The following is a 23,254-nucleotide window of genomic DNA, read 5'->3' on the forward strand; positions in this document are numbered from 1 at the left end:
CAAGGTTTGTTAGTGCACCAATCAACACTCTGTATCTAGCTGCTCTGGTGGGGCCTTGGAAAACCTGTGTGTGGAAACTCTGTATCTAACTAATCCGATAGGGACGTGGAGAACCTTTGTATCTAGCTCAGGGATTGTAAACGCACCAATCAGCGCCCGGACAAAACAGGCCACTGGGCTCTACCAATCAGCAGGATGTGGGTGGGGCCAGATAAAATAAAAGCAGGCTGCGGGAGCCAGCATTGGCAACTCGCTCGGGTCCCCTTCCACACTGTGGGAGCTTTGTTGTTTCGCTTTTTGCAATAAATCTTGCTACTACTCAATCTTTGGGTCCACGCTGCTTTTATGAGCTGTAACACTCACCACGAAAGTCTGCAGCTTCACTCCTGAAGCCAGCGAGACCACGAGCCCACCAGGAGAAACGAGCAACTCCAGACGCACCACCTTAAGAGCTGTAACACTCACCGCGAAGATCTGCAGCTTCACTCCTGAGCTCAGCGAGACCACGAGCCCACAGGGAGGAAAGAACAACTCCAGACGCGCTACCTTAAGAGCTGTAACGCTCACTGCGAAGGTCCGCGGCTTCACTCCTGAGCCAGCGAGACCACGAACCCACCAGAAGAAAAACTCCAAACACATCTGAACATCAGAAGAGACAGACTCCAGGCGCGCCACCTTAAGAACTGTAACACTCACCGCGAGAGTCCGCAGCTTCATTCTTGAAGTCAGTGAGACCAAGAACCCACCAATTCCGGACACAGTTGTAGCAACCCCAACAGTGTCTAAGTGTTTCCTTTTCCCTGCATCTGCACCAACATCTATTGTTTTTTGACTTTTTGATAATGGCCATTCTGGCTGGGTTAAGGTGGTATCTCATTGTGGCTTTAATTTGCATTTCCCTGATGATTAGTGATGTTGAACACCTTTTCATGTTTTTTGGCCATTTGTGTGTCTTTTGGGAAATGTCTGTTCATGTCATTTGACAACTTTTTAATAGGATTTTTTTTATCTTGCTGATTTGTTTGAGTTGCTTGTAGATTCTGAATATTAGTCCTTTGTTGCGTGTATAGTTTGTAAATATTTTCTCCCATTCTGTGGGATGTCTATTTACTCTGCTGATTATTTCTTTTGCTGTGCAGAAGCTTAATTTAATTAGGTCCCACTAATTTTCTTTTTGTTGCATTTGCTTTCGGGATCTTGGTCATACATTTTTAGCTTAGGACGATGTCCAGAAGAGTTTTCCCTACTTTATCTTCTAGGATTTTTGTGGTTTCAGGTCTTAAAGTCTTTAATTCATCTCAAGTTAATTTTTATATATGGTGAGCGATAGAGATCCAGTTTCATTGTTCTACCTGTGGTTATCCAATTTTCCCAGCACCATTTATTGTATAGGGTGTCCTTTCCCCAGTGTATGTTTTCATCTGCTTTGTTGAAGATTGGTGGCTTCCAGGTATTTGGCTCTAATTCTGGGTTCTTTATTGTGTTTCATTGGTCTAGGTGTCTTACTTTCATATCAGTACCATGCTGTTTTGGTTACTATATCCTTATTCCTCTGGCTTTGTTCTTTTTGCCTAAGATTGCTTTGGCTATTGGAAGTGGGGAGAAACAGATATTAACTTGCAAATGTTCTTTTTGGAATTTAAATGATCATTTGAGACAGTCATTGTCTTGAAAAATGGTCTTCTTTCCTGTAATGGATAATGCATTAACAAGAAGGAGAACAAGAACAATTGTTCTCGTTGGTGGGTCAGTCCTATCTCTCTCTTTCTTTTCCCTGTCATGTTGCCCAGGCTGGTCTTGAACCTCTGGGTTCAAGTGATCTTCTTGCCTTGTCTTCCCAAAGTGTGTAATTACAGGCATGAGCTAGCGCACCCAGCCAATCCCATCTTTATGTAGATAAGGCAAAAGTCTCTTCCAGCACTTGACGGTCTCTATGGATTTTTAGTATAAAATACTCATGATGCCAGGGAACCGATTTTGTGGTGAGATATTTTGATTTCTGTCACTTTCCTTCTCACTTCCATTTGCAAGACTCAGGCCTGGCTCTCCGGAAACGAACTCTAAGGACAACTGAAACATTTCTCTCTTTCCCAGTTTCAAGGGAAACTGCTCCCAGTTTCAGGGTGAGGTTGAAGGCTGTTAGGCTGACTACCTTGGTCTTCCCTCTCAGACTCTTGGATGGGGCCTGAGAATGTGGTTTCTAGGAGCCCTGATTTCCATTCCTTTGGCTGTTTCCTCTACTCTCAAGCCTGAGTAAGCAAGAATCCTCTTTGCACCATGTTTTATATAGTGTTGTGCATAACAATAAAGACATTTTTATGGCATTGGAAAAAATATAAATGGTGGTTACAGCACTTCATTCAGCAGAGAGAAATAAATACTGTGTGTTTAATTTTTTTCAGCAAACCATTCCCATGATCTATTTTTCTGACTGCAGAACTCAAACATTGTTAAAGAATTATAAATAGAGTGTGAATCGATTTGTAACATTGCCTTCTTACATGGGCTCTTTAATTCCTGGTAATGATTTAATATACAAACATGCCTGGTGCACCTGCCTTGGTGAAATGCAGCAATTTTCCTTGTCAAGTGGTATGTGATTTCTTCCCTCTGTTCCAAATGGGCTATGCTTTCTTTCCTTTTTTCTTTTGTGTTACTGATCCTATACCTCTTTCCAGTAGCTCATGTTTATCCTGTGCATTAGACACGCTTCTAAGTGATTTTAGCATCCGCTTAATTTGCTGGGGTGGCGTCTGGAAATGTGATCAGGTTAGGGTGAGCAGCCGCACAGAAGTGTTCTTTCCATCTGAGCTGAGGTTGGGAGATCACACAGTCTTCTTCTATGAATATAATACAGAGCGTTTTGCTAGTGAAGCATAATTCAGAACTGAATTTATAATGAAGACATAATTTGTCTCTGGTGCATAAATACCAGTATGGCGGGGCTGAATCAACACACATTTTTTTTCCTTTCTGTTAAAAGGCAGGATGGGGTGGCTGGGGGAGTCTTTTGAAAGAAATAACAAAAACTCCAGGTATGCTCACTGGGTGGGCTGAGATGAGGGTCTTAGTTTTAGTGAGCAAGTCCAGAAAGTTTCCATTCTGATCAAGTTCTGCTCTTTAGAATTGCTGGGTTTGGAAACAATTTTAACCAGGTCAATTGAGACGAGCAGGCTTAGGGAAATGATTCATCTGTAAACAAAATATTAAAACCTAAGAAGCCTATGAATATACGATGTGATTAGATTTCCTTTATTATCTGACATTGGCTTGAACCTCCCCTTACCAGGAAGAACAGTTGCCTCTCCCAAGGCAGCCCCCTAGTGCGACATGTCTGTGGTGTGCTCTCCACTAGGTCCTTGTGTTTGTAGCACTGCCTCCTCTCTGAGCCATTGTCCCATCAGCTCTGTTACTACTGACGGCTGCCCTGGGCACAGCGATTCTTCACTGCATCTACCTAAGCTACCTCCATTGTGGCTTCAGAAGAGACCTTCTTCCATGGATGGCTCACAGGACAGTTGATGCCAGGATGTCATGAGCCGCAGAAAGAGAAGAAACATTTTGCCGGAAGCTCAGCATAAGTCCCACACCCAATTGCCCTGGGTTCCTGTTCCATAATCTACCATTTCCTTCAAGAATTAACAATGGAAGTATCTACTTCCCTCCGGAGGAACCCACTCCTACACACAGGGTAATGACCTTGCTCTGTGTCTCCAGCAGGATAATATCTTTGGAACATAATGGTCTGATATCAGTATGTTCTGAGTCGTTTATTCATTGATAACATCACTTAGGAGAATTGATACACTAGTCTGTGTTGGTCTGTGCCAAGCTCAAGCCAGTATTTTCCACCATCTCTGCTCTGGTGTGAAGAATCTTCTAGAAAGAAACACAGGTCCTTTCTCCTGCCATCTCTCCAATCCAGATTTTCCACCAACAGTTTCCAGAGCACAAGCATCAGTGTGCAGAAGGCCCTCTAGAGTCACACAGAGCTAAGAACACTCCATTACTCTCCCCAGAGACTATCACCCCCACCACCATCAAAAGGCAAGACATTCTTTTTTTGGCAAGAGATTCTTAAATGGCTTTAGCTCAATTAAGTCTAGCAATGTTCTAATTCTTCAACCAAATTTCTCCTCAATGTGAAATATTGCATTCAGGTCAATGGTCACTCCAAAGCAGCAGGGACAATCTTGCAGTGTTTTCTTTCAAATCCATACAAGCAAAGGATTTCCTTAAAACAAAGTTCAGTCTGCAAAAATAGTGAATGCAGACCTTCAAACTCTTTATAGAGAAAAACTTTGTGGGCTCAGAATGGTTCTTCTTTTTTTCAGATTCTAACCATTAAGTTCCAAAAACAAATAATAATACAACTTTGATTGATAAATCACTATGTAATGTACTTAATAATGAGAAAAAATATTTTGAATAGTTTGTTAGACATTTTTTCCTGCTTTGGTTACATGGAAAAGCTGAATTAAAATAAAAGTAATTAAAGCCGAAGGATTGGTGGGTAGAGATGGGTTGGGAGAAAAACCTAAATATTTACTGATTATCTGCTATCTTCATTGCTGCTCTAGGTAATTTAGATAGGTTATTTTATTCTACCCCTAACCATTCTGTGAATTAGACCTTATTACAGCTACTTGAAGATGAATGTAAAACTGAGACTCAGGGATATTAAGATCTTGTTCAAGATCATGAAACTGGTTTGCAAGTGTGGGGCTAGGCTTCAACCAGGTCTATAAGATTCCAAATCTCCTTTCCATAATACCATTTTAAGCTTAGGGAGTATTTTCGTTAAGCTGAGAAAGCCTAGTGGGATACTCTTCTCTACCTTGGACTTTTGCAAACCTTATCGTACAAAACAAATGTGACCCTGTACCTTGGCCAATCAAGACTTAACTCATTCATTCGAGTCCTTACTATGTGCAGGACACCATCAGAATGGAAGTCACAGAACCCAGTGACAGTGGGGAAAGCCATTTCAGCACAATACACTTTTAATATTCTTCAAATTGGGCCATGTGCAGGGGCTGACATCTATAATCTTAGTGCTTTGGGAGGCTGAGGTGGGAGGATTGCTTGAGGTCAGGAGTTTGAGATCAGCCTGGGCAACATAGTGAGACACTGTCTCTACAAAAATTAAAAATAAAAAGATAGCTGGCATTGTGGTATGTGCTTGTAGTCCTAGTTACTGGGGAGGCTGAGACAGGAGCATCCTTTGAGCCCAAGAGTTCAAGGCTACAGTGAGCTATGATCATGTCACTGCACTCCAGCCTGGGTGACAGAGTGAGACTGTCTCAATAATAATAATAATAATAATGATAATATTCAAATCACACTTGACCCTGGCTGCCAATCCCACCTACACTCCAATCCCCCTGAGAAAATACATTGGGTAGCAGCCTTGGTTCATTTGGGGCATTAAGAGAATTTGAGCAATCAGAAGACTCACTCCCATGTTTCTTTGCCATTTTCCACATTCTTATCATTTTCTTGTAATTGTGTAATTGATTGGATTTTTAATTGTGGGATGGTAAATTTTTAATCAGGAGAAAATAGTCATGGATAGAAGTAGGTGAAGGAAAAGATTTATGGGGCTTTCAGGAAACTTACAGGAAAATCCCCTAAAAAAGTCATCATTTGTTATTCTCAATATTGACTTGTTAAAAGTGAATCTCATTACCTTTGTTTTATCTGGCATGTTTATGGAATATGTTTATTTATTAATGAATTTTTCTGGAGCAAATGTAACAGACACATGGGACATTCTGATAGTCACTCAGCTATATGTCTGGGTATATTTATTACTGTTCAGAAATGGAAAGTTCCAGGAAAACAACTGAAAAGCATTCAATTCCTCAAAATGCATGCATTCCATGAATCATTTATTCAGAGGATTAAGAAGAAAGATATTTGAGTTGGTCTGTGGTCAAAAATAATCTCTTTCTCAGCATTCTTCCCAGAATTGTTCAGAACAATTTTCTTCAAATGGACAGAGGTGGATATGAGGTTGTAGGAATACTTCCCTTCCACCCTCTGAAGGTTCTCTAAAAATCAACTGACAAAAAGCAAATTAGTAGGAGAAAAAGTATATAAGTTTACTGATATGCATGGGAGTCTGACATAATATAAGATCTCAAAGAAATGGCCAGATGGTTGATGCTTTTATACCATCTTGAGGTTACACAAAGAATGGGGGCCCAGAACCCAGCCCAGAACAGGTTATGGTGGTAAATCAGGTTACAGTGGCAAAACAGGTTATGGAAGGGAGAGAAGAGGACGCCTGGCTAGCAAAGGTGGTCTTGTCATGTAGGTGAAACCTCATGGGTAGCAGCCCTCAGAGAGAAAAGGTGGGAAATGTTCCTTTCAGATCTTGAGAGATGTCAGACTCTCAGTTCATCTTTCCTAGATCTGGACCAGGGAGGACCTCAGAAAGCCTGGCTGCAGGGATGCGGGCTTTCTCTACAGATGCAAATTTCTCTGCAAAAGACAGCTTCTTAGCTACTCTTCTATTTCCAGCCCTTCTGAATAGCCATCTTGAAATATGTCAAAGAAATATATTTTGGGGTGAAATTTTTTGGCTTCCTGCAAGGTCATGGTATGAATAAGTGGGCACACTGGCTAGGAGATTTGGTACCAAAGTTGCTGTCGATCAGCTTGATCTGGTCAAGGGAAATGTGGAGGAAGCAGGCTCTATTATCCCCTCTCTTGGATCTTTGCATGCCCTGTTGCTTCTATGCCTGGCAGATGCTGATGGGCATCACTGAAGTCCTATGTGACACCAGAGGAAGTGGATGGTATCACGAAGGGAGATGGAGTCACAGAATCAGAGACTGCCACATCAGGGAGGACCTGCAAGCCATTTCACAGCCAGCTCTCTTCTTCCTTCTTCTCCTTCCTTTTTTTTTAAATTCTTCCTTCTTTTTTCTTTCTTCTTTTCTTTTTAGTGGGATTCTCGTTCTGTCACCCAGGCTGAAGTGCAGTGGTATATTATGGCTCACTGCAGCCTCAAACCCTTGAGCTCAAGTGATCCTCCTACCTCAGCCTCCCAAGTAGCTGGGACTGTAGGCTTGAGTCACCATGTCAGAGGCATTCAAACCAGAGTGACTCCATCTTGAATAGGGCTGGGTGAAATAAGGCTGAGACCTACTGGGCTGCATTCCTAGGAGGTTAGGGCATTCTAAGTCACAGGATGAGGTAGGAGGTCAACACAAGATACGGGTTATAAAGACCTTGCTGTTAAAGTAGGTTGTGGTAAAGAAGTGACCAGAACCCATCAAAACTAAGATGGCAATGAGAATGACCTCTGGTCGTCCTCACTGCACATTATATGCTAGTTATAATGCATTAGCATGCTAAGAGACACTCCCACCAGCACCATGGCAGTTTACAAATGCCAAGGCAACATCAGGAAGTTACCCTATACGATCTAAAAGGGAGAGGAATTCCTCAGTTCCAGGAATTGCCCACCTCTTTCCCAGAAAACTTATGAATAATCCACCTCTTGTTTAGCATACAATCAAGAAATAACTATCAGTACAAGCAGCTGAGTGGCCCACACCACTGCTCTGCCCTATGAAGTAACTATTCTTCATCCCTTTACTTTCTTTTTTTCTTTTTAAAATTTGTATTATTTTAATTATTTTCATGTGTGTAAAACTCAACAGTGTACATTTAACCCAGTTTAGTGGCAAGTTATTTAGCCTTTGCCTTTTCAAGCTTGGCGATGCGAGCCACAGACTTGGGACCCAGGACATTGCCACCCCAGTGACGGCGGATCTCATCATATCTGTCATTGTAATTGGTCCTGATAGCTTCCACCAGCTTAGCTAAACCGCCTTTATCTTCCAAGTGCACCTGTGTGAGGGCGACAGTGGTGCAGGTCTTCCTGTGCACTAGACGGCCCAGTCTTGCCTTCCCCTTGATAATGCAGTAAGGGACCCCCATTTTACGACACAGGGCAGGCAAGAAGATAACCAGCCCGATGGGATCCACGTTGTGTGCTATCACCACTAGCTGAGCTTTCTTGTTCTCCACCAAGGTGGTGACGGTGTCAATTCCTGCTCGAAGGACATGTGGTCTCTTAGTGGGGATGTCCCCTTTGCCAGCAGTTTTCTTCTCGGCCCAGGCCAACAGCCTCTGCTTCTTCTCTTGCTTTGGATCTGGTCTGTACTTGTGGGCCAGCTTAAGCAGCTGAGTAGCTGTTTGGCAGTCCAGGGCCTGGGTAAACTGGTTAATCACAGGAGGCACTTTCAGCCGTTTATAGAGGGTGGCTCTCTGCCGCTGCAACCTGATATAGCGGGGCCATTTCACAAAGTGGGTGAGTTCTCTTTTAGGCTGGATGTCCTGTCCAATGCCAAAATTCTCAGGCCTTTTCTCAAACAGGGGATTCACCACTTTCTTGGCCTCCTGTTTCTTCATGCCAGCAGGGGCCGGAACCACCTTCTTCCCCTTGGCCTTCTTTCCTTTCGGCATCTTGAATGGCAGGAGGAGAGAGAGCTATTCCTTTACTTTCTAAATAAACTTACTTTCACTTTATGGACTCGCCCCAAATTCTTTCTTGTGCAAGATCCAAGAACCCTCTCTTGGGGTCTGGATCAGGACACCCTTCTGGTAACAACCATACCTGGCAGCTCCCTTAGTCTACAGATTTGGAAACTGAGACCCAGAAAGGGTCACTGACTCTTCCACGATCACTGCATAATTGCCAGAACAGATAAGACTCCACCTGGAACTTTTCACCTTTCCATCCTGAGGCGTGAGCTCTCAGGGAGCTCATCCAGTCTCAACTTCCATCCCCTTCAGCTTTAACCTGCTAGAGCAGCTGCTACATGCTGAGCCTGAGCCTGCACATCTGAGAGCCTGCCCAGTGATGCTGGATAAGAAATGCTGCTGCCCAGACAGGGGGATCAGTGATGCTTTGTCATAAAAAAATCCGAGGAAGTAAATAATCCATGCTTAAATAAAAGACATCCATGGACAAGTATGTGCACCTCAGTTATGAAGATAGTACTCTGCAACGGGGTCTAAGTGGTGTTTCTTACCTTGTAATTGCAATCCGAGGACTTGAGTGGGGTTCTAGAATCTGGGACTGTCCTTGGGCCCTGCTTAATTTATCAGCAACACCTCAAGCCTCACAAAGAGAAGGCCGCATTTCTGGTTGCTGTGGTCTGATTGGCAGCGAATTATCTCTCTGATCTCGATTTCTTTTTTAGGAGGGGGCCCACATGGGAATCTTATTAGGCTGCGCTTTTTTATGTGTGTGGGAGACCCTTCTCTTCTTCCCTTTTTAAATTCTGATCAACAAGCCATTCAAGGCTGTCTCATTATCAAACCCTCACTGCCCTGGAAATTAAGGAAGGTGGAAGAAGAGGCGTAGCAAAGTGAGGGCCTTGGTCTGAATTTGGCTGGCAGACATTTCAGCTGGCCCTAACAAACGATGTTTAAAACAATTTGAGACAATGTTTAAACACCAATGATCTGCTATGAAAATCTGGATTTGGGGTGTCTCTTTAAATAAAAATATCAGAAAATCTGGCTGCACTGAGCCCAAATTCTCAGTGGCAAGAATAATCAGGGGCTGACTGGTCTCTGTGCATTTTAGAGCAGCTACACATTCTCTCTCTCAGCCTCCCGGCACCATATGCATTGGAGTTTGCAACCCTTTTTGAGAAGGAAATAATAAAAGCCACTAAACCACATCTCCACTAGAGTTCATGTATTGTATTATTTACTACAAATATTTATTGGACCCAACTCTATGCCAGGGTCAATTTTATTTTACTTTTTATTTTTATTTCAATAGTTTTTGGGGTACAGGTGGTTTTTGGTTATGTGAATAAATTCTTTGGGGGTGATTTTTGAGATTTTGGTGTACCCATCACCCAAATAGTGTACACTATACCCAGTGTGTAGCCTTTTATCTTTCAATCCCCTCCCATCTTCCCACCTGATTCCCCAAAGTCCATTATATCATTCTTATGCTATTGCATCTTCATAGCTTAGCTCCCATTTATAAGTGAGAACATACAATATTTGGTTTTCCATTCCTGAGTTACTTCACTTAGAATAATGGCTTCCAGCTCCATCCAAGTTGCTGCAAAAGATATTATTTCATTCCTTTTAATGGCTGAGTAGTATTCCATGGTGTATATATACTACATTTTCTTCATCCATTTGGTTGATGGGCACTTAGATTGGTTCCATATCTTTCAATTGTGAATTGTGCTGCAATAAACTTGCATGTGCATTTATCTTTTTCATATAATGACTTCTTTTTTTTTGGGTAGATACCCAGTAGGATTGCTGGATTGAATGGTAGTTCTACTTTTAGTTCTTCAAGGAATCTCCATACTGTTTTCCATAGTGGTTATACTAGTTTACATTCCCGCCAGTCATGTAAAAGTGTTCACCAGGGTCAGTTTTAATATGAACCTGTTCATGACATTGAACACTCGTTCATCAAACATTTTTTATGGTAGCGCTATTCTAGGCACTGAGGGCGCAGGGGTAGACAAAGCAAAGGAGATCTCTGCTTTTGTGAAACTCACGTTTCTGCACGCAGCTCATCAGTGCGCTTCAAGTCTCTCACTCTCTGTCTACTTGCCTCATTTCCTACCACTTCCTTCAAGGTTTCGAGGCTTTTGGGGCATCAACCATTCATAAATGGCTTGGTCCAAGCCTGCAGAGCTTGTGAATGGCAGCCTCAGGCTCAGACTTAGCCCACCTGATTCCTGCGCTCATAGTCTATGCTCTCACCACTGCATCTGCCAGAGATTGACAAGGTACCTGAGCTTCTGTCAATCGAGGCTGTAGAGAAATATTTTCAGTGGCTTGTTTACAAAATTTCCTCTTTTGACAGCATGGCTGGCTGAATAACAGTCCTCCAAAGATGTCAACACTCTACTCCCCGGAACCTGTGAATATGTTACCTTATGTGGCAGAGACACTCTGTAGATGGGATTCATTTAAGGATCTTGAGTTGGGGAGACGATTCTGGATTGCCTGGGTAGGCCCCATGTAGTCACAAGGTCTCTTACGAGAGAGACAGGAGGTCATATGGGAAAGAAGACTCTGCCCTATTGGCTTTAAAGATGAAGAAAGGCGGGCAAGAGCTGATAGATGCAGGTGGTCACTAGGAGCTGGAAAAGGAAAGGAGAGAAATACTCCCCTGGAAACTCCAAAAGGAACCCAGCCTTGCAGACCCATTTTAGACTTTTTTTTTGAGATGGGGTCTCACTCTGTTGACCAGGCTAGAGTGCACTGGTGTGATCATAGCTTACTGCAGCCTCAAACTCCTGGCCTCAGATGATTCTGCCACCCCGCCCGCCTCAGCCTCTCGAGTAGCTGGGACATCAGTGTATGCCACCACATCGGGCTAATTTTTTTTTTAATTTTGTAGAGATGGGGTTTCACCATTTTGCCCAGGCTGGTCTCAAACTCCTGGCCTCAAGTGATCTTCCTGCTGTGGCCTCCCAAAGTACTGGGATTACATGCATGAGCCACCATGCCAGGCCTCCATTTTAGACCTCTGACCTCCTGAATCAGAAGAGAGTATGTCTGTGCTGCTTAAAGTCACTACGTTGGGGGTAATTTGTTACAGCAGCAATAGGAAACTAATCAGTGTAGCAGAAAGGTTTCCTCATCTGTGGAATGTGAGCTTTGGGCCAATTTATTCTCAAGGCCTTTCTGGTCTGTGTTCTAGGTCCACTGGGTTGGGGTCTTCAGCAGCAGATAGGATCAAGGCCCACAGTACTGACTGGGCATGTTTGGAGCTTCTGAAGCTCCCGGTCCCTAGGATCACAGGCATTCACCTAGTGAACAAATGCTTTGGGGATCAGTCAAAAATGCAACCAACATTTTACTGGCAGGGTCTTAAAAGCACGTGACTCATTCAGAAATACAACATTTGGTCGATGGATATGTCAGACTTTCAGGTAAATTTAATCAATGAACAACCACTCTTTTATTTTCCTCCAAACCAGGATTTCCTATTACATTTCATTCCATTAGCCTTGATATAAAGTGGCAGTTGATAGCAAGCCATATTGACAGGCCCTCCCAGGTATAATGTAGCAGTTACCTTAAATCACTTATTCACCACATGATTCATGGCACACAGAGGAATAGGTCATCACTGAGTCTTTAAATATAAAGCTAACATAACAGAACACTCAAAATCTTTAATGTCTGTGATTTAATCCACCTTAATTAATTAGAAGGCATGTGATGGCCTCTTCGCATCTTGAATCATAACCAACAGAGTATTTGTTCTTACTCTGATAAAGGGTAACAGGCAGGTGCTTCCAGCGGGTGGGGGTGGAGGGGGTGACAGTGCCTGATTTTGGAAGACCAGCCCCCTGTGGGCTTCACAGTGAGAATTCACTCCCACTTGGCACAGCTGTCTTCCTTTGATGCAAGGGATGCTACAAATCATTTTGATCAACAAACATTTCTTGATCAACTACTAAATGTAGAAAGGCTAGACATTAGGGGTATAAAGCTGAATAGGGCTAGATCTATACCCCAAAGAAAGGAATTCAGTATAGCAAAGAGATATCTGCACTCCCATGTTTACTGTAGGACTATTCACAATAGCCAAGATTTGGAAATAACCTAAGTGTCCATCAACAGTCAAATGGGTAAAGAAAATGTGGTACATACACACAATGGAATATTATTTAGCCATAAAAGGAAGGAAATCTTGTCATTTGCAAAAACACAGATGGAACTGAAGGACATTATGTTAAGTGAAATAAGCCAGGCAGAGAAAGACCAGCTTCATATATTCTGACTTATTTGTGGGAGCTAAAAATTAAAACAATTGAACTCATGGAGATGGAGAGTAGAAGAATGGCTACCAGAGGCTGGGAAGTGTGGTGGGGAACTGGGAGTGGAAGTGGGGGTGGTTAATGGATACAAAAAATAGAATGAAGAAGATCTACTATTTGATAGCACCATAGGTTGATTATAGTCAATAATTGTTTAATTATACATTTAAAAATAACTAAAATAATTTAATTGTACATTTTAAAATAACTGGACATGGTGGCTCATGCCTGTAATCCCAGCACTTTGGGAGGCCGAGGTGGGTGGATCACCTGAGGTCAAGAGTTCGAGACCAGCCTAGCCAACATGGTGAAACCCCTGTCTTTACTAAAAATACAAAAAAAAAAAAAAAATTAGTCAGGCATGGTGGTGGGCACCTGCAATCCCAACTACTCAGGAGGCTGAGGCAGGAGAATCACTTGAACCCAGAAGGTGGAGGTTGCAGTGAGCCAAGATTGTGCCACTGTACTCCATCATGGGTGACAGAGTGAGACTGTCTCAAAAAATAAAAAAAATAAAAACCAGAAGAGTGTAATTAGAATGTTTGTAATACAAAGAAATGATAAATGCTTGAGGTGATGGATACTCCATTGACCCTGATGTGATTATTACACATTGAATGCCTGCATCAAAATATCTCATGTAACTCATTAATATACATACCTATTATGTACCCACAAATACATATTTAAAAAATTTGTAAATAGATGAACGAGACTCAGACCCTGCCCTGGAGGATCCTCAGTCTCAAAAGGGAGAGTAGAAGTTATGATTCTGGTAATGTTTCTCAAGTTTTTGCATTATTTTCTCACTGATGAGTTATTTTGGTTTAGAAATATGGCTGATGAGAAAGCTAATAGTGACTTAGGAAGGAAGCTTCTAGGGGTTCTGTGTGCACAGCAGGGTCACAAAACAGATTTTGGGATTGGAGAAGGAAGCTGACCTGGAGGTTTTTTTCTGGTTGCTGGAAGGTGCTTGGGGAGAGGAATTGTAAAGTTAGCAGAACCTGGTCACTTGAGTCTAGGAGAATGTTTCCTGGTGGCCTTTGCATGGTATTGTATTACTGTTGGGCAACGTGCAGTTGGAGAATCTGAGAAGGAATTAAATGAGAACAATAGAAAATCCAGCTATACATGAAAAACTGAGGTAGGCACACTCTGAGAGTGAAATGCAAACATGTCACAAGGGAAAACAAGGCAGACCTCTGTCAGCAACAGAGCAAAGGAGATGCTTGAATTCCCCCAGGTTTTGCTTTTCTGAAGCACATGAGGATGGAGCAATTTGACCTAACCTCATTCCTATATGTAAAGAGTACATTAACTCTTTGGGCATGTCACATGAGCAATCTTCCCATGAAGTAAATGCTCAGTATCGGTGAGAACACGGAGATACGAAACAGCTCAGTCCTTCATTGGCCTCCTTTCCTTGCCAGCTGATATGGTTTGGCTGTGTCCCCACCCAAATCTCATCTTGAATTGTAGCTCCCATAATTCCCACGTGCTGTGACAGGGACCCGGTGGGAGATCATTGAATCATGGAGGTATGGCTTCCCCCATACTGTTCTCATGGTAGTGAATAAGTCTCATGAGATCTGATGGCTTTATAAGGAGAAACCCCTTTCGCTTGGTGAGATGTGCCATTCGTCTTCTGCCATGACTGTGAGGCCTCCTTAGCCATGTGGAACTGGGAGTCCATTAAACCTCTTTTCCTTTATAAATTACTCAGTCTCTGGTATGTCTTTGTCAGCAGCCTGAAAATGAACTAATACACAAGGGCTTGTTAGAGTCATAGACCAGTGGCCCACCTATAAGCTGCAATAGCATTTTATGTGTAAGGCATAGTACTTGGTACTATGGGGTTGATGAGGTTAAGAGGCAGGCTCTGCTCTGGAGGAGCCTGCAGTCCATCTGGAGTTGGGGGGGTGCTGCCCATCCCTGGAAAGATAATCATACATTCTGAAACCAAAATACCCCTCAAAGTTTACAAACTATCAGGCCTGTAAGAGTTGAGTTGAGGACAGAGGGCTCAGGAAAGCCTTCGTGGAAGAAGTAGCCATTGGGCTGGATTTTGAAAGGACAAACCAGATAACTAGGAGATAACTTGGGCTGATAACTGGGAGAACTCTGAGTGCTCTTTTCTTCATGTGATTTGCCTACCATTGTTTACTGGTACATAGCACAGTGTTGCAAAACAAGCCCAGAATCAATCTTTTTCCCCTAAAACCATAAATAGTTGTGCTTTGCATGTCTTTGTATATGACTTTTTTTTTTAAAGATACATAATCTTGAAGTAAGATAGGTCAGAATTCAAACCACAAATCCAAGCTCTGCTATTTCCTACCACTGTGGACAGGGCAGTAAATGTCCCTGAGCCTTGGATTCTCCATTTATAAAATAGGGTAATACTGATCTCAATATCTTGTTAAATTACATTTAGCCTAAAGCTGCCTCTTTACATATTTTAAGTCTGGCCTCAAGGTTTCTCTGTACATAGTGAACTGTAACCTAACTGGATGTGTAAACATTCTGTAACCTATTCATGTTTTGGTCAATCAGACATGGCCAACTGTTCAAACTGTGTCCAAATAAGGCAACTGTCAAGTTGTAACCACTCCGGTTGGTTCTGTACCTCACTTACATTTTCTGTCCTTCACTTTCCTTTTTCTATACATAAATCTTCTTCCACCACATGGCTGCTTTGGAGCCTCTCTGAGCCTACTCTGGTTTGGAGCTGCCTGGTTCATTAATTGTTTTTTGCTCAATTAAACTCTTGTTAAATTAATTTGTCTAAGGTTTTTCTTTTAACAATGCTTTTATAGAGATTAAAATGAAAAAATATGTAAGGTGCCTAACTCAGTCTGAAAATTATAGTCTGTTTGATTAAGTAGCTATAACAAAGACTCCCAAAGCTACAGCATTTAAGAAATAGAGGACCAGACATGGTGGCTCACACCTGTAATCCCAGCACTTCGGGAGGCCGAGGCAGGTGGATCACCTGAGGTCAGGAGTTCGAGACTAGCCTGGCCAACATGGTGAAACCCCGTCTCTACTAAAAATACAAAAATTAGCCGGGCATGGTGGCACATGCCTGTAATCCCATCTACTTGGGAGGCTAAGGCAGGAGAATCACTTGAACCCGGGAGTCGGAGGTTGCAGTGAGCCGAGATCGTGCCATTGCACTCCAGCCTGGGCAAGAAGAACAAAACTCCATCTCAAAAAAAAAAAAAAAAATAGAGATGTTCATTTTTGTCTCATGTTAATAACAATGATTTGAGTTGGTGGGGTATCTCACTTTATTAAGTTTATCAGGGACCATGATCCTTTCATCTTGTTCTTCTGTCGTTTCCTAGGGAAGAGATATACAAATGATGGCTCCCAGATTGTTTTTGCAAATAAAGTTTTATTGGCACCCAGCCACACTCATTTGTTAACATACTGTCTACAGTTGCTTTAACAGGTAGAGTTGAGTAGTTGCAACAAACCAAATGGACCCCAAAGCCAAAAGTATTTACTATCTGCAACTTTTATTATTTATTATTTTTTATTTTTTGAGACAGGGTCTTGCTCTGTGGCCCAGGCTGGAGTGCAGTTGCATGATCTCGGCTCACTGCAACCTCTGCCTCCCAGGTTCAAGTCATTCTCCCACCTCAGCCTCCCAGGTAGCTGGGACTACCGGTACGTGTCACCACGTCTGGCTAATTTTTGTATTTTCAGTAGAGACAGGGTTTCACCATGTTGGCCAGGCTGGTCTCAAACACCCAACCACAGGTGATCCGCCCACCTCGGCCTCCTAAAGTGCTGTGATTACAGGCGTGAGCCACCACACCCAGCCACTTTCTACATCTTTAGTAGAGTTTGCTGGCCGAGGCTTTGTTATGGGTTAGTCCGTGTTTCAGCTCACTAGGAAGAAGGGCAGCAATTTCCTTTCAGGGTGGAAGTTGCATACATGACATCAGCTCACCCTTCATTGATGAGAACTTAGTCACGTGGTCATACTCAGCTGCCAGGTAGCCAGGATATGCAGTGTGGCCTTGGGCAGTGATATGCCCAGCTCTAATCATATCACTTTGAAAGATGGGAAGAATTAATTCTGGTACAAACCAACAGTGTCTGCCACATTTGTCCTCAGTATGAGCTCCCTTTCCCTTTCCCAAGTGTCAGACTACCCAAAAAATCCACAGTTCTCGTTCCTTCACTGCAGTGCCCTCTAGCTTCTGCTCCTGGCTTTCTTGAGTGTCTCTGTTGTTGCTTCTTATCTCTAATGTCACCCAGTTCTCATTTAATCTTAGCAAGTCCGGTTGACCTTTTAGAAAAACAGCCCTATGATTTATGACAGGGTTTTTCAACGCTGGCGCTTGACATGAAATTCTTTGTTTTAGGAGCTGTCTTGGGCAATGTAGAATGTTGAGTCACATCCCTGCCTTCGGCCCAGTGGATTCCAGTAGCATCTCCCTGTTGTGATGACCAAAAATGCCTCCAGACATTACCAAGTGTCCTTGGGGGGACAAAATTGCCTGTGGTTGAGAATCACTGACTTACAGGTGGATGGGATCTCTACCTTTTGTCCCACCATGTTTTTAATGGTCACCAACATTTTGGTTCAAAGAGAATTCCTCCTTTATAATGATAAATCTCTCTTGGTTTTACAAAGCAATGCTATTTGACTAAATTTAACTTCTTAGGTATTGAGTCTGTATTTGTAGATGTGAAGCTTTTTAACTCTGAGGAGCTCTAGGTAATTATTTCACCCAAATAATCCTATGAACACTAGAATCTATTCTAAAATATCAGATCTAGGCTATGGATCAGGGGAGACTTTGAGGCAGAGAGAAGAGAAGCTGTTTAATTTAGGAGGCAAAAAGTGGGGGCAGGAGGAAGAGAAGCTCATTGAGAAATAGTAAAAAAAGGACTTACTGGAATGTTGTATTCATGGGCAAGAAAATGCCGATTCATTTTACAGTGTGCTACATGATATTCCAGACCTCGAACTTCAGGATGCATTAAAATCACTTGGCACTCTTGTTCAAATGTGTTTAACCCACCTCCAGAGATTCTAGTTCAGTTGATCTGGTGGCAGGAGGTAGTGGGTGGGGTGGGCAGAAATGGAAATTCTGATGCCATTGATCCAATTTTAAAAAATGACTGTTTTAGACTAACTTTTCAGAAACGTTTAAAAATGTTTCTATGTTCATTTAAATAATAGCTGTCAATTGTGATTGAGGAATCACACCAGCATGAGTAGTTTATTTTGTCATTTAGCCCAGGTTCTAATTCATGGCATCTATGCCAAGTGAGGAACAAAGTGGGCTTTGTTAATTGCCTGCCAATACCTTGTTTCCCAGCACAGAACTCTCTAGAAGCTGGATTGCACCATGTGCTTTAGGCTGGAGCTAATGTTTGGCCTTTTATTTCCTCTTCTCTGGATTTCTGCCTATTTTATCTCTTGTCCTTCCCTCCAAAATAAATGATAGGCAGGGCCCTGCTACCGTAGCACCAGGCAAAGTCTATTGGTTACACCCTCCAGTGACCTAGGAAAGGGAGCAGGACAGAGAGGGACCATTTTGGTTGTAAAGATAAAAATTGGAACCAAAGGCAACAAGCCTCAAGTAGTTAATGAGGAACCTTAAAATGATGAGAAAAAGAGATTTTTGAAAGTTAAATTAGTGACTCTAATGAATTCACTTTAGCATGTGATGCCTAATCTCATTCTTGCCTGGTATCAATGACCAGCACCCACCAGTCAAGGCTCCTTTGCCCATGGCGAGGGCAGTTGTTTGGGCCAGCCAGAATCCCCTTGACACCAGAGAGGAGAGGCCAGGCCTCCTGTCCTGAGGTGGAAGCCAGTCCTGTTCTTCCTGTTGCATGGGCAGTTGGAATCCAGAGTGCACAAGAGAAGATAAAAGTCGTGCTTTGCAAGGGAACTGATCTTTAACACAGCAACCTTGGCTGATGAGGCTTAGGTTTTCACAAAGGAGATCCACCTACTCCTCAGAGTTGGTGCAAGCAGGAGGGCAGAAAAAGAATCTAAAATGTGGACAGGGCTGGGAGTGGTGGCTCACACCTGTAATCCCAGCACTTTGGGAGGCCGAGTCAGGCAGATCAATTAAGCCCAGCAGTTCGATACTAGCCTGGCCAACATGGTGAAACCCCGTCTCTACAAAAAATACAACAATTAGCCAGGCGTGGTGGCAGGCACCTGTAATTCCAGCTATTTGGGAGGCTCAGGCATGAGAATTGCCTGAACCAAGGAAGTGGAGGTCGCAGTGGGCCAAGATCATACCACTGCACTCCAGCCTGGGCAACAGAGTGAGAACCTGTCTCAAAAATAAATAAAATAAAATGAAATGTGAACAGGAGTTGGCTCCTGTAGAGACCAAGTCCGAAATCAGATGCAGGGGAATAAGAACCTGACCTTCAACTCTTTCTCCTGCTTTTACGACTTTTCTCCCTTTCTCCTTCTTTTTCCTTCCTTCCTCCATCTCTTCTGTTTTTTTTTTTTTTCCTTTTAAAGACCAAAGACAAATTTTTCATATAGACCAACCTTAAGACAAGCTCAAGGAAGTAGCATTGTTCACACCTCTCCTTTTCTTCTTGTTCTGATATGGCCCCAATCTAGCTTGGGTTCAGTGTTGCCCCCTCATTTTGATACTCACACACTGTTTCTCTATCTCTCTCCCTTCTTTCCTTCCTTCCTTCCTTCCTTCCTTCCTTCCTTCCTTCCTTCCTTCCTCCCTCCCTCCCTCCCTCCCTAGCTCCTTCCTTCCTCTCTCTCCTTCTCTCTTTCTTTCTCTCACCCTCTTTCTCTTTATCTCTCTCTCTTTCTCTTTCTTTCTTGATAGGATCTTGCTATGTTGCCCAGGCTGGTCTCGAACCCCTGGCCTCAAGTGATCCTCCTGCTTCAGCCTCCCAAAGCATTGGGATTACAGGCATAAGTCACCATGCCTGACTCTTACACACTCTGATAACAGCAACTGTTACTGAGCTGAGCACATAGTAGGAGCCTTGTAAAAGCACAGAGTCAGTCAAATGCATATAGGCTGTCTCAAGTTGAAGCAGCTGTGTCCCAGAGGATTACTCAATGCTAAATTTCTTCTGTCCTATGTTACATTCTCTCTTGCTCCCACTTGCTTTGATCACCCACCCATCCTCAGAGATGTGTGTCCACCTGACCTGCCTGGCTCTGGCATTTTTATGAGGTGGTTGTGTTCTGATGGTGATCATGGCCCTGGTTCTAACTCTGCCTCATCCTCCCCATAGTGAGCAAGCTTTTCCCTCCCACCCTGCCCTCATAGCCTCTGTATTTGCGTTGATGTGCTTATCTCTGGGCTGAGAGCTGATTTGGTCTTCCCTGGCTACAGGGCTGAAGTAGGGCTGGTTGATACAGAGGTGCTCGGTCTGTCCTTAAGACCAGGGATGGTGTGTTAGTTTCCTTGGACTGCCATAACAAAGAACCACGAACTGAGCAGCTTCAACAACAGACATTCATTGTCTGAAAGTTCTGGAGGCTCCAAGTCCAAGATCAAGCTGTTGCAGGATTGTGGGCTCTGAGGTAGAATCTATTCTCGGCTAATTTCGTGGCTTCTGGCACTTTGCTGGCGATCTTTGGGATTCCTTTTCTTATAGAAGCATCACCCCAGTCTCTGCCTTCATATTCACATGGCCTTCTCCCTGGGTGCATGTCTGTGTCCAAATTTCCCCTTTTGATAAGGACACTAATCATGTGGGATGAGGGGCGTGTCCTACTCATGTGTGATTTCATCTTAACTAATTACATCTGCAATAACCTTATTTCCAAATAAGGTCACATTCCAAGGTACTGGGGGTTAAAACCTCCACATCTTCTTGGGGGACCCTTAAGAGATGGTGACTTTTCTGTCGCCATCTTTCACATCTGTCACTTGCATCTATTAACCTCTTTCCTGGGGCTGAGACTAGAGTGAAACAAATGAGAACTCATGGGGAACAATAAATTTAAGGGGACATAAAGTAGCTCAGCAGTCAAGATAAATTATATTTTAAATGAAGTGGGTTTTTAAATATATATATATTGTGTCTTTTTTTGGTCAGTTTTTTAGTGTTTTTAATTTTTTTTTTTATTTTTGAAGCAGAGCCTCACTTTGTTGCTCAGGCTGGAATGGAGTGGTACAATCATGGCTCACTGCAGCCTCCATCTCCCAGACTCAAGGGATCCTCCAGAGCCTCAGAGTCCAGATTAGCTGGGACTACAGGCATACATATGCCTGGCTAATTTATATATGTTTTTTGTATAGATGGGGTCTCTCTGTATTGCCCAGGCCTCAATCAGTTCACCCACCTTGGCTTCACAAAGTGTTGGAATGACAGTCATGAGCCACTGCACCCAGCTGTGAAATGTTTTTAAATGTAAAAGTCAATGGGAAAAAATCCATGATGAACAAAATATTAACGTCATAAAGAAAGGCAGGATCTGCCCTCACGCTTGCACGGTGGAGCCTCTCTCATCTCATCCCGTCTTTGCCTGCCCCAACATTGGCTTAATGGGGACTGAGCAAACCAAGGCCCACCCCGCCCCCTGTAGCTGGGACCCTTACCTCTTGTTACCCTTGACTATAGTTTCTTTAACTTCAGAACACAACCAAAGATGCTTTGTTGGATTTTGGAATTCAGAAGGCTTGTTTAACACTAGGTTTGAACCTTATTAATTTCCTACTTCAGTGATTCTCTGCCAAGTCTTTTATACTCCTCTCAAGCTCTGTGTTTGATTAGAATACTTTCATTCCTTGAACTCAGACACTTCTTGGAGGGGGATCTTGCTGATTAGTTTGATGTCATGTGGCCCTGTCAACATTCCTTCATCTTTGCTGTTTTTTTTTTTTTTTTTTTTTTTTTAAATACCAAATGAAGGTGCACTTAGGTACGGAACTCTCTCTCTGGGTGGTGCTCCTTCCCTGGTCTCCTGTAGGGTTGGACCGGAACGCTCTCGGTGTTCACTTCTAGGGTCAGAACACATCTGGAGCAGGATTATGAAGCAGCATTTCCCCTGCAATCTGTCAAACTCGCCAACAACTAGAGAAATCACCCTGATTCCTGAGAGAGATTACCAGGAAGCCTTTTTCAGGGGCAGACGGGGTTATTTTGCCAGTGTAGCAGAAAAAAGGTAAATAACAGGTGTAAACCAAAAATAAAATTCTAAGCCTCCAGAATGACTAAATGGATCTCCCTCTTGGCCGAGGCATTCCAAAGTAAACCTGAAAAACTAGTTCAAGCTGTGATGGGAAGAGGGGCTTGTTGGATAGACCTCCTTATGCCCTCCTCCCTTTGGAATTCAGGCTCAACTGACCAGGGTTAACATTAAAACAGAGATCTTAGGACTGACAAAGCAGACTCTTTGTAGTGGGAAGACACCAAATTCCAACCTGACTCTAGTATAGCATCATAGGACAGATGGCAGGCCCTGAAAGACACTGAAGTATTTTACTCCAAAATAGATTTCTTTGACATCTTTTTAAATGGCCCTGAAAAACTGTCTTTTGTGAGGAAATCTACATTCTGTAGAGAATCCTCTTCCCTTTCTAGGTCTTTACCTCATCTGGGAGATATTTAACTAAGGGTTCGGCAAGTTTTTAGGTCTGATAAAAGACATTTGTTCTCTATTCTCTCTACAGCCTAGAGGCTTCATTTGCATAATGAAATCCCTGGTCTTCACAACCCCTTATCTTAACCTAGAAGACTTTCCTTTCTGTTGATTCCAGGTCTTTGGATAATAACTTAACGCTTTCAACTGATTGGCAATCAGAACATTTTTGAATCCACTATGACCTGGAAGCCATACCCACTCTCCCAGCCTGTCCCCCACAACTGCTTCCAGACCCAACCAATGTACACCTTACATGTATTAATTGATGTCTGCCTACAACTTCTGTCTCTCTAAAAGATATAAAATTAAGCTGTAACCCAACCACCTTGGGCACATGTTCTCAGGACCTCTTGGGGCTGTGTCACGGGCCTTGGTCACTCATATCTGACTCAGAATAAAGCTTCTGAAATATGTCACAGAGTTTAACTCTTTCCATTGACACAGGTGAGTTTGTGTTGCCCACTGCTTGTTATGTGTTACAGTAAGAACGAGATGATCCATTTGCAGAGCTTTGCCTTTTCTGTGGCCAGGTGGGCAGCTGAAGAGACTTGACATGTAGGCCAGTCATTCCATCTGTTCCCAACTCTTTCAGCCTCCTTCTGGGATCCTGTTTTTCCTGCCATCACCCAGCTGAACCCAGACTTTATTCTTTTATAACACACCCCCAGCACACAAATTTATGCACCTACACCAAATTCACTTGCCAGCCACCTCGTTCAATAGCTGTGAATATTTCTGTAGCCTCTTTCTTTTGTGAACTGCAAATAATGACCAGCCTAGTCTCTATGGTTATATTTAGGGGGAA

The 23,254-nt window shown here is 43.0% G+C and overlaps 1 long non-coding RNA gene and 1 pseudogene across 1 annotated transcript in view; one reads left to right on the plus strand and one right to left on the minus strand.

Moving 5' to 3' along the window:
- The window catches only part of ITGB1-DT (ITGB1 divergent transcript), a 99,552-nt gene that overhangs the window by 67,378 nt on the left and 8,920 nt on the right, over positions 1-23,254 (plus strand). The gene's annotated exons all lie outside the window — the stretch shown is intronic.
- Positions 7,627-8,504, minus strand: RPL7AP53 (ribosomal protein L7a pseudogene 53; annotated as a pseudogene).

The sequence above is a fragment of the Homo sapiens genome, chromosome 10 (genome assembly GCF_000001405.40).
Source record: "Homo sapiens chromosome 10, GRCh38.p14 Primary Assembly".
In the NCBI taxonomy this organism is placed as follows: Eukaryota; Metazoa; Chordata; class Mammalia; order Primates; family Hominidae; genus Homo; species Homo sapiens.